At 45.9% G+C, this 12,025-nt stretch overlaps 1 protein-coding gene and 1 long non-coding RNA gene across 2 annotated transcripts in view, besides 1 other annotated feature; one reads left to right on the top strand and one right to left on the bottom strand.

Moving 5' to 3' along the window:
• FOXG1 (forkhead box G1) lies at window positions 1,826–5,316 on the bottom strand. The gene has a single exon (NM_005249.5). The coding sequence runs from the start codon at window positions 4,821–4,823 to the stop codon at window positions 3,354–3,356; it is 1,470 nt and encodes a 489-aa protein (NP_005240.3). The 5' UTR covers window positions 4,824–5,316; the 3' UTR covers window positions 1,826–3,353.
• Window positions 5,661–6,185: an enhancer, noted in NCBI's record as "H3K4me1 hESC enhancer chr14:29235124-29235648 (GRCh37/hg19 assembly coordinates)". NCBI's record gives its function as "activates a minimal SCP1, AML or CMV promoter by ChIP-STARR-seq in primed H9 embryonic stem cells {active_cell/tissue: H9 hESC(primed)}" and the evidence as "EXISTENCE:reporter gene assay evidence [ECO:0000049][PMID:30033119]".
• Window positions 6,784–12,025, top strand: part of FOXG1-AS1 (FOXG1 antisense RNA 1) — a 40,078-nt gene continuing 34,836 nt past the window's right edge. Inside the window, exons 1-2 of the long non-coding RNA NR_125758.1 lie at window positions 6,784–6,943; window positions 9,629–9,771. This is a non-coding gene — a long non-coding RNA (FOXG1 antisense RNA 1). The remainder of the gene's footprint in view (window positions 6,944–9,628; window positions 9,772–12,025) is intronic.

The raw sequence follows: 12,025 nt of genomic DNA, 5'->3' as shown, positions 1-12,025 counted from the left end.
CAGTTTCAGTTCCAAAATTTCACAAAGGACAACCTTCATCTTATTAAAAACAATTATAATATGAAAGAAAATAATCCTCAAAAGTTTTGAAGTGTATTTCTGACATAAACTAATTTTAACGGTCAAAGTTGGAGACAACAAATAACACAACATTACAACCCGTTCGATGCAAAAATGTATTATATGCCATGCCAGACTGTCATGTGTTTTTTGAGAAGATAAGTTGAGGGATGATAAGATAGATCAAGGGAAATGAGATGTTCATATTGGGCTTCAGGAAGCCTTTACAAAGTTCTCTCTCCATATATCCACCTTCGTGTCTAGTACACCTAACAAACTTCTAGTCATATCCATTATATGTAATTTGGACATGGGTCCAAGCAGAACTCCCACTCCAATACTTCGTTTCTATGAATTCAAAGAAATCAGTTTTACTCTTGACTTCAAAGTATGATGTTTGCCATTAAAATTCTATTTATCTGTCACCCAAATAAACACTTATAAATACAAATAAGTATACTTATTTAATGTGGCCAAAAAAAATACTCATGCAGGAAAACTTTCTTCTATATCTATACCCCTTTACCTTAGCACAAGAGTTCAACTTTCTTTTTAACGTTTGGTAAGCAAAATTCTATGTTTCCCCTGTGATAATACATTCTTATTCCACAAATAAAATCCATGGCAAAAGCAAACAATAAATCATCACCTTTTTTTCAGCTTGGACACATGTCTCTCTTTGAGCTATTTTGGTTCAAAATGTGTAATGGGGATTTCCTTTGCATAAAACCATTCACTTGGACTTTATTACTATTTTTAATATCAGCCATAAATTTGACTTTTAACACAATAATTTTTTGTGAAATATTTTTATGCTTCATTCTGAAGAACTTAAATTTCAAGAAAATTTGGACCTCTGGTGAAACTGTTTTTATACTAAGAAAATAAAATCATGTCTAATTGCTTAAAGGAGATAATTAAACTAGCTGTCTTGGCTTATTTTTGTCCATTCCCCATTTGTGTATATTTGGTTCCAGCTCTTTTAATTTTCCTGGCCCTTATATATTTTTCTTAGGCCTTTCTCTCTCTCTATCATTCACCTTATGTCTCTCTCTCTCATGCATTCTTTTTGGTGGTAATTATTTTTTCACCATAAAGATCCTCTCTCTCTCTCTTTCCCTCTCTCCACTCCACAGTCCACCCCCTTCTATTTTCCAATATTAAGTATTCAGCATTTCAGTTTCAAATCTATTCCAGTAAGCTTGCTTCTCCCTTAGGCTTTTTTTTTTTTTCCTCCCCCTGAGCAACTGTCTAAGTGTTTGCTGATAACATCTTAGGGCCAGATTATTTTTCACTGGGCCCATTGTAAGAAGTAACCAGCTTATTCCAATACTGCAGAACACATTTCAGACTATACAATTGTAACAAATGAACAACTTGTCCTCCACAGATTCACCACAGGATCCAATTAGTTACTAAACCTTTTACTAAGGTTTTCTAATTATTTTCTGCAATTATAGCGATTGGGCTGCCTGAAACAATTCAAAAAATGTTTTCATTTTGTCTCACATATATACGCATATACAGTATATGCATACATATGCATATGGAAAGTTAAAATTATGACTAAACAAAAGGAACAAATCTCTAGATTGAATTACACAGACATTTAAAAGGGAATCAAATAAATACCTCTACATTGTAAAAATTAAAAAAAGAGGCATTTTACTTCTGAATATCTAGAATTCTAAATTGTTATAATTTTAAAATAAAATATAAACATTGATCTGCAAGTCATTAAACAGGTGATCACTTCAGCAAAATCTATATTGCAACTTCAGCACATCTTTATTAGAACTCTTTCATTGTGGGTAAACAGCCACAAAAATAAATGCTGACTTAGAAAGTATAAATACAAATATTTAAACAAAAATGTTTGCAGCATTCATAGCGCAAATTGTACCTGAACTGAAGGGCTCTGTGTGTCTATATATATTACATATGTGTGCATTATAGTCACTTCTATCTAACCATATACATATATTTATTTATAATTTGCCAAGCTCTATTAACAATATACCTGAAACAAAATATATAAATGGCATTCTATTAATGGATTTGGAAATAAACACAGGGTAAAGAGCTATGCACAGAAAATTAAATTATATCTCTTTTTGCTGTATATCCACAGAAACTTACAGGTATCAGCTGAAAAGCCTATACTTTGTTTAAAGCTAGTGTTTATTAAATAGGCTGCTCCTTGTAAAATTTGTTCACAAAGGGAAAAATACTATTTTCATTTTTAGAGTCAGTTCAAATTAAAGGAGCAGTTTAAATTTTAGTTTGGCTGAAAAAGCCTTTGAATTCCCTATAAGTTGATTGGTCTTTAAAAAATTAGCTCTACTTAATAAAAGAGACAAAAGTATCAAGATATATATGAATTTAGCCTATTTTTTATTTCTGTGTGTTCATAGTAAACATTTTTGTAAGTGACAAACACGGGCATATGACCACAGTATCACAATCAAGAAATTTTAAGACAACATTAACAATCACTCAAATTTATGCGGCATTTGCGCAACACAGGTTACATATTTGCAAGGTTTACCTATAAGTACAATAGGTATTAACATTTCACTACATTTAGAAAAAATAAAAGTGACCTGTTAGTGACCACATACATCAAAATATACACAACACAAACTGAAGGCAATCGTTAATTTTGTCCCCTTCTGATTCAATTGAATGGGCAGTGTTGCCAACTGAAACAACTTTCCTTTTTGTTTGTTTTAATACTTAGTATACCAAGTGCATTTTCTAGAACCCAATCTTTGGTCTAAAAGTAAACAAAAGAAAAAAAAACAGTTCTTTAAAGAAAAGGACAAAACAATAAATGGCCAAAATAATTTCTTGGGCACCTTTACTACGAATGCTTTTTAAATACAAATTACAGTTTAACATTTTAAAATTCTCCCCATAATTTAGGTTGTTCTCAAGGTCTGCGTCCACCATATAGTTCCATGATAACTTATAATACTGCACACATGGAAATCTGGCGGCTCTTAGAGATAGACTTGTCAGGTTTGAATGAAATGGCAAAGCAGTCACTATTTAGATACACATTCTACTATAATTTGACTTCCAAACCTTATATTCTACAATGTATTCTCCCCACATTGCACCTCGCTGACACTCCACACCTTGTTAGAATAATAAACAACCCTAGAGACTGAACAAACGTACAGAAATGGGAGGGGGGGGCTTAATAAAAAATACCTGGACTTATTTTTTTAATTATCATTTACAATGCAAATGTGTGTAAAACGTTCACTTACAGTCTGGTCCCAGGGATGTTAATGTATTAAAGGGTTGGAAGAAGACCCCTGATTTTGATGTGTGAAATAATCAGACAGTCCCCCAGACAGTCCCGTCGTAAAACTTGGCAAAGAGGGTCTTAAAGACTCACAGGGCAGGGTCGAGGGGGCCTGCGGCGACGTGGAGGAGGACGCGGCCCTGGCGCTCATGGACGTGCTGCTCTGCGAAGTCATTGACGGGTGCGGGACGTGGGGGAAAAAGTAACTGGTCTGGCCCGCGAGCAGGTTGACGGAGCAGGGGTTGAGGGAGTAGGTCCCAGAGCAGGGCACCGACAGGCCGCAGGGCACCGAGGCGGCTAGCGCGGCGGCCGTGAGGTGGTGCGTGGCGTACGGGATCTCCCCGTTGACCAGCCGGTCCACGCTCAGGCCGTTGGCGGTGGAGAAGGAGTGGTTGTTGCCCAGCGAGTTCTGAGTCAACACGGAGCTGTAGGGCATGGGGTGGCTGGGGTAGGCCGACGTGGTGCCGTTGTAACTCAAAGTGCTGCTGGCGCGGGGGTGGTGCAGGGACAGGAAGGGCGACATGGGCCAGTAGAGGGAGCCGGCGCGGTCCATGAAGGTGAGGCCGGTGGAGGTGAGGCGCGCACCGCGCTTGAAGGCCAGCTTGGCCCGCGAGGTGGTGGAGCGGCGCCGCAGCTTGCCCGTGGTGCCGCCGATGAACACGTCGTCGCTCGACGGGTCCAGCATCCAGTAGTTGCCCTTGCCCGGGTCGTCGTAGTGGCGCGGCACCTTCACGAAGCACTTGTTGAGGGACAGATTGTGGCGGATGGAGTTCTGCCAGCCCTGCTTGTTCTCGCGGTAGTAAGGGAAGTTCTTCATGATGAACTCGTAGATGCCGTTGAGCGTGAGCCGCTTCTCGGGGCTCTGCCGGATGGCCATCATGATGAGCGCGTTGTAGCTGAACGGCGGCTTCTCGTACTTGCCGTTCTTCTTCTCGCCCTCCTTGCCCCCCTCCCCGTCCTTGCCGCCCTCGCCCGCCCCCTTCTTCTCCTCCCCCCCGGCGCCGGCGCCCTTCTCCTTCTCGTCCGGCCCGACGGGCGCCAGCTCCCCCGGCCCGCCGCCCGGCTCGCCCTTGCCGCCCAGCCCGTCCGCTTTAGCCCCGTCCAGGGCGGCGGCCGGTGGTGGCGGTGGCGGCGGCGGGAGCAGCAGCTGCTGGGGGCCCTTGTCGTCGTCGGCGGCCGGGGCGCCCCGCGTCTGGGGGGGCTGCGGTGCCGGGGGCGGCGGCGGCGGCGGCTGCTGCTGCTGCGGCGGCGGCGGCGGTTGCGGGGCGGGCGGCGGCGGGTGGTGGTGATGGTGGTGGTGGTGGTGGTGGTGCTGGGGGTGGTGGCTGTTGTGGTGGCCGTGGCTCGCGTGGTGGTTGTCGTTCTGGACCGCCTCGGGCACCAGGCTGTTGATGCTGAACGAGGACTTGGGGATCATTTTCACCTCTTTCCTATCTCCCATGTCCAGCATCACCCAGTCGTCGGGGGGAAACGGCGGCGGCGGCGCGGGAGCGGGACAGCGGCGCGGCGGGCGGCGGCGACCGGTGGGTGCCGAACGGGGCGCGGGGGGCGCGGGCGGCAGCGGCGGCACTGAGCGCTCCGGCAGCAGCGCAGTTGGACCGCAGGCTCGGGCGCTGGCAAGTCATGTAGCAAAAGCAGCAACCACCCCTCAGGAATTAGAAAAAAAAAAAAAAAGGAAAAGAAAAAAGAAAGAAAGAAAAAAGAAACAACCACCGCCCCGGGGGTGAAGCTCCCTCGCTCCCAACTGTACTTCTTGGTCTCCCCCCCCACCCCCCGCTCCCCCCCCCGCTGCTTCCTCCTCCTCCTCCTCCTCTCGCAGCAGCAGTCACAGCAGCAGCAGCAGCAGCCCAAAGGGGGGGAGAGCCGGGCGGCGGGCGGGCGCGTCCCGGAGCGGCCGCGGCGAGGCTGGGGAGACAGCGATCGAGGCGGCTATAGCCACAATTAATTTTCCGAGCTACAGGCGCACACTAGGGCTGTAAAAAAATTTTTGGTTTAACCTTTCCTACCGCTGGGCCAATCAGAGCTGGCGGCGTGCGGGAGCGTCTCTCTCGCCGTCGACCAATCGGAGGGGCCGGGCCCACCCACCCCCGCCCCGCCCGCCGGCTGCCGCCCCCTCGGGCGCTCGCCTCCCCCTCTCCGCGGGCCTCGGACCCCGAGGCCGCGCGGAGCCGCGTAGGGATACGCCGGCGGGAGCACGCGGTGCCGCAGCCCTTCCCTGCGCCCCCGCCACCCCCTCCACCCCGCCGGCTCCGCTCCACCGAAATTCCCCTCCTAGGGCCAATAGCTCACATTTCCGGCTTCCTCCTCATTGTACTGGGTCATTTTCGTTTAAGCGTCAATATTTGTCCTTAGTGATTAAAGTTTGTATCCAATTTTATTTTTGAAAGCGGGGGTGGTGGTGGTAGTGGGAAGAGTGGGAGTGCAGGGAGAGGATGCGAGAGGGCAGGAAATGGAGGAGGTAGAGGCGAGGCACTACTTTTCCGAGTCGGCCTTGCAGGCCAGTGTCTGGCATTTCTGAGCCAGCAGGAAAATTGTGCCCTTTGTAGGTAATAGTCTAGCGCAGCTTTGGATAAGGGGGGAGATAAGGCCCACCGCTGGCGTGTGTGCGGGGGTGTCCTTTACTTCGGGGGAGGAGGGTGTGGGAGAGCTTTGGGAGCGATGAGATGAGGAGGAGGAAGTGGGCAGAGGAGCGCGGGGCCAAACAGGGGTTACTTACTCGATTCCTGAGGCCTGGGCGGCGGCGAGCTCCGGGCTCCGGCACCGCGGGGAAACCGGGACTGGGGCTCCGGGTGCTGCTGCGGCGGCCGGGGCCGCTCAGTAGTGGGCGCCTCTGATGGCCTTCCGAAATGAGAGGTGCCCAGAGAGAAAACAGTACCAAACAATCTCGAAATAAATCAGGTAACACATGCTATATACGTGTGTCTCTTCCTTTTCCTTCTCTCCTGCTCCAGAGCGTCGCTCACGCGCGGGGTGACTCGATGTCGTTTTCTCCTCGCCGCTCCAGCCTCAGCTTCTAATCCGAATTGGAAGCGGGTAGCTGCGAGCGATCACCCTGGAAATATTTTCGTTTTGCTTGTTGACATTGGAGGGAAAATAAGGGTGGGCGTCTATTTCTTTCCGGTTTTTTTTTTAAGCCTTCCTATTTTCACTCCTTTTTTTTCCTTTCCGTTTCTCAAATGCTTTTATTTTGTGCGGGCCTCATTCCTGAAATAACAGTATACTGAAGCCAGCTCTTGCCAACCCTGAGTGCTGCTGGAAAGCACCGGGGAGCCTTGGGAACGTGGATCTCACAGTCCCAGCTTCTTGGGCTTTGGAACTGGGAAGGTTCGGTTGGAGGTTGAAGTGAATGGGGAAATTGCGAATCGGGGGCTTTAAAAGGATCCCGTGGCCAGGGGCAGGGCTAAGGCCCAGCATTTCCCAGGGATTGGAATTTAGTGGGGAGCACATTGATCAAAGGCTGTTTCATCCCACATGGGCACGAAACATACCACATTTTACGGAGGATGTAGCCCCAGAGAAGAGGGAGGTGGAGAAGCATAAATGAAAGGCACCTTTTCCTTCCTCTAGAAGGTAAATAATTATAAAATGTAAGCATTTCTTCACTTGGATAAACTTTCATTAAGATATCTGGCAGATTTGGTATTTAAGAAAACGAAGGAAGGAAAATTGGTGCTTATGCTTGATCCTAAAGTTAAATTGTAACATAAAGAATGCGGTTGATGAATACTCAGGATAATAGGGGGTTATTCCATCCTCCCCACCCCCAGTCTTAAGAAAGAGAAAGAGAGAAAAGGTTGGGGGGGGGGGAGGAAACTGGAGAGAATAATAGATAATTACAAATAGCTAGTGAATTTTAAATATGCATCTATTAGGAATGCCACAAAGGAGCTTTGAATATTGGACTAACCTCAAATGTCCTTCCACTGTATGTATGTATCTTTACCTATGTCTACATATCTTCTCACTTTAAAACAAACTGTATTTACATGTGGAAAAATTCAAGGGTTCCAACAATCAGTGTTGATAGTGACATGGTCCCAAACATTTATTTCCAAGCTCTGGATTTCTCGCAGGGCCGGGTGAGCTAATGGGCTTTGCCTACCGGCTGGAGAGATTTGTGGGCCTTCCCCTTCCTACTCACTTTTCCTCCTCCCACTCTTCTCCCCTCTTCAGGCCCGTTCTTCCTACTTTTCCTCAACTCTCCTTCCTCCCTCCTCCCTCCTTCTCCCTTAGCTCCCCCCGCCCCTTCCCCCCACCCTCCATTCCTCTGTCTCTCCATTCCTCCACCTACTCCTCCCAATTTCTCCTCTTACAGCCCCCCTTCTCACCACCACTTATAATGGCACACAGGGCTCCCTCTGAGGTGGACGGCCCGGTACGTTTTCGTAGTCGGTCTAGCGTGAAATGATTCGGTGTAACCGGATTCTTGGGAAAGGACAGGTTACGTAAACATTTACTGATGTGGAGTAACTATACTATTTGTACTCTGATATGCAGGAAGGAAAGTGTTGATTAACACAGAAGAAAAAAAAAACGAAATTAGCTGATTGCATGCTCATAAGTGCAAGCTGTCATTGAACTGCTTTTAAAATAGACACAGCTGGGTGTTTGTGTTGAAAAATTTCTTGTGTTTTTGCTAATACTGAAATAAGCATGATTTTGTATACCAAACATTTTCAGATCATTAAAATTTGTAATCTGTGCTGGTTTTAAACACAAAGAAAAGAAACAGAATCATTTCGATGTAAAATTTGCTGATATTATATTAACTCAATCAGGTCTGTACAAATTGTGCATTGTGCCTCCTAAAATCTGTTTGATCAATTTAATACACAAAGTGCCAAACGTGGGTATTGTTTGTTAACATTGGACATTTTATTCAAATCCGAGCTCAGCAGCAAACTGGAGGAGCTTTCCTTCAATACAACACCAGCTCTGACTGATGAATTTTTAATGTTTTAAGGTGTTTCTTAGGTCAAATCTGAGCGTGCATTGTTTTGTAATCCTGTATAAAATTTTAGCAGGTGGAAATAAGTTTTTCTTCTGTTTACTTTCAAATAGCAAAAACTGGGGTTTGCTAATGAGCACTGTAATAATCTGATTTTATATGCTAGGAGCTCATATTGACTGGGAAAATGTTTTTCATTCAAATTAAGGCTATGTTATATAGTTTAAGGATTGCATGAATGCAAGTCTCTCAAAATAGGATATTCTTATGGGCATAAATAGTATATAGTTTAATGTAATATTTAAAAATCTATTCTTCCTAATGACAAAAGTTATTTGTAATCTGGCAAGAAGTGAGTTTTAATTCCTTTTAATAATTTCAATTGCACTTTATGTCGAGATGGTGATATATATATATACTCACACACATATATATGTGTGTGTGTGTATATATGTATATATATATAGCTTGTTCAACAAAACATGCACTGTTTACTCAGCACCCCGTGTTTGTCTCAGCAATAGCTTTTTTAAAGAACTGCTACTATTTGAAATGGAGGGGGAGGGGGGTCCTGGACAGAGTATTGTGCAAGTTGAAAGTCTCTGGATGGGGCTTTGTATATCCTACCAGCCAATTTGGGTGCAAATTGGATTTGAAGGCCTGCCTCTGTCCACCTCGGGCCTCTTCCCTAAGCACTGGAAGCCCAATCTTCAGCCCCACTCAGTCACCGTGATTACCTTCAGAAGACAGAGGGAATTCAGTTGTCTCAGACCTGAAACAAATTCTCTATCATTCTAATTTTTTTCTCATGATGGATCTAACCTTGATCTCTCACACAGACATCTACAAATGTGTACTATTAATGAATAAAAGCAGAAGTCAAAGTAAATGTAATTTTCTGGTATATATCACAGTAAACTTCTCTCTTGCTCTGTCTGCAGTCCCCCAGCTCTCCCAAAGAGGTCAGGCCCCGTAAAGAGTGAGCAGTTCCAATGGAAGAATTGGTTAGGAAATGAATTAGATTATTCCTTCTGGAGTTTTAATTAATAACCAAGGCTACACAGCATACTTCATCCGAGTAGGGAGCAGAACATTTCATTTTTCCATTTGGCGGTGTTATTTAAGTATTCTTTAGGGCCTCTTTCCTGTTTTCAGTCAGTGATCCGCCTCTTTTCTTCTTGCTAGCTGCTGGTTAAAGGAAGGTGGGCCCCATTTACCTAAAATCCACTCTGCTCTCCATTCCCTGGACAGGGTGTCCTTGGAGTGGCACCCAGCGCCAAGCTCTAGCTAAAGTTCTCTTCCTGCAGATGCACAGAGAATTTCTGACCTTGTGACGTTTGGGAGTGAGGAGATCCCATACAGAGGCATCCAGGTATTTCCAGAGATCCTGTGGCAGGTGAGGTCTGCCCTCGCTGGAGCCAACTCGTCTATAATATCTTCCTAACAGCAGGTAATGGTGCTAACATTTAGTGATTAGAAGTTACTCTTTAGCGTGTTGTATCCTCGTTCTGTGGGTTTTGGTTACAGGTTATACGATTAGGTTTGCGAGAACAGTAGTGAACTAAACTTCTCAGTAAGAGGTCTTCACACCAGGGAAGTGTTACTTTTCTGCAGCAGCCCTGCCTCGTCACTCATTAGGGAGCTGCAGGTTGTCAGTGGCTGCTCTCAGCGCGCGCACGCGCACCCTCAACGTCCCCGGGGGCGCGCACATTCGCGCGTGTGTGTACACACACACACATACACACACACACACACACACAGCACTAAAACTAAATTAAGAAGCCGATGATTAAGACAAGCGTCTACTAGGCCTGTCATTTCAGCATCCTTCCATCATAACATTGTGGCACCGGCAATTTTGCTTGAGAACCTCGAGTAAAAAAATCTATGGGAGAGCCTCGTCTATGAGAGTGGAAATGTTTAGCTTGTGTAAGCTAGGGAGCCACTTTAAAAGGGAGAAAGTCCAAGGCGAAGAAGAGGAGCAGGAGGAGGAAGAGGACAAGGATGAGGAGAAGGCCTTGACAGAGACCCCTGGGACTCTCCAGGCAAGTCTCTGTGACGCTGCCAGGTGTTCCAGGCTCTCTGAAGCCAAGTACGTACGCAGCCAAAAGAAAAGTCCCGTGATCTTCAGCAAAATGTGCATGGGAGAAGCTTTGTCCCGACATTAGCCAAGGGAGAGCCAGGCGTGGAAAGATCCATGACGAAATACCACCAGAGGGCCAAGGGACTTTAGTCTCTGGAAAAACTTCTCAGTCGAATACTCTGTACATCTCTTGTAAACATTGTAAACATAATGTCCACTACCCTTTTACTTGTTTCGCGTTCTTTGCCAGTGCCCTCCAGAGGGTGAGTGATTTGCTGAAGGACTTGAGTCCCTGATAGTGTGAGGGCGGACCTGTTCCATTTTTAGACCTGATCCAGTTGTGAGAAATGGTCCCACACAGCCTGGGGAAGTGCCCCTGAGAGGCCGATTCCTATTTTTCCTCTAGTTACCCAAGGAAATGGTGTAGTCAGTCTTTCAAAGGAGATAGGGGAAGCTCCACAAACAACCATAACACAGCACAACAAAACAAAACAAAGAGCTGAAGGGGTGTTGGTGAACTAGAATGAAGGAGGCTAGAGCTCAGGTTCTTAGTTTTAACCCCCAGCTCTATCCCATAAGGAAGAAAGTGAGACTTGGCAAAAGCCAGCCCACAAACAATATTACCTCGGATTTTCCATCAGTGGGGCACCAAAACAGGAAAAAAGAAAATAACTATATATATCTATATATATATATATATCTATATATAGATATATCTATATATCAAGCTGAAAGAAAAACTTACAGGGCTAAAAATGCTGAACTCTTAAGAGCTGGAACTCCTAACTATCCCATCATTGTTCTTACTTAGTTGGAGCTTCAATGTGATTTCTAGTAGAAGCCTCAATCTTCTTCTGGAAGTGTTACAGGACCTTTTAGAGAAGGGGTGTGTGTGTGTGTATGTGGGGGTGGGTGGCGGGTGAACCAAGACTTCTCTTTTGAAGCACACCTCCAAATGGTCCCCCAAATTCCAGTTGTGTGAGAAAAGATGGAAAGGTCTGACTCCTTCGCAATTTTTAGCCGGTCACCTTCGAACTAGTCACCGCTCAATATTTAAATGTACACGGAAAACATTGAACAGTTCAAGGTCCGTATATGAGATTAATAAGTATCTTATAGGAAATGCTTGCACCCACTAAAGGTCTGAAGGAATGAGAGGAGAGAAAACTTCATGAGTGGGGTAAGCAAGCCAGGAAGCACGCAGAGAACCCTTCACCCCAAAGTCTCCCTTTGCGTGGGGAAAGTAGTATCTACTAATCAGATCTATCTGCTTCTTTCAAGAAACCTGCGTGGACAAACCAATGGGCAAGTTTTTACTTTGTGCTCATCTTACACCCACCTGGCCCTCACTCTCCGGAGTCGGTTCCAGTAGGTCTTCCTACCCCAACCCTCGCTCCTCCCCCGCGCCCCTTCTCCAACACGAGGCCATGGAAAATCTGTTGGAGGAGCGTTTCTCAAGAGGTCCAGCTTTTCTCCCTCCCCTGCCTTGCCTCTTGAGGCTGTAACTGCGAGGGTTCCCTTCGAGGAGCTTCGCGGAGCTGGGGCTCCCAGGTCTGCGCGCCGCTGCTCCCTGCGCATACCCGCGAGCTTGCCCGACGCTCCTTTGTTGCAGACGCTTGCC

The sequence above is a fragment of the Homo sapiens genome, chromosome 14 (assembly GCF_000001405.40).
Source record: "Homo sapiens chromosome 14, GRCh38.p14 Primary Assembly".
NCBI lineage: Eukaryota > Metazoa > Chordata > Mammalia > Primates > Hominidae > Homo > Homo sapiens.
This window is presented reverse-complemented; position numbering and strand designations above follow the sequence as displayed.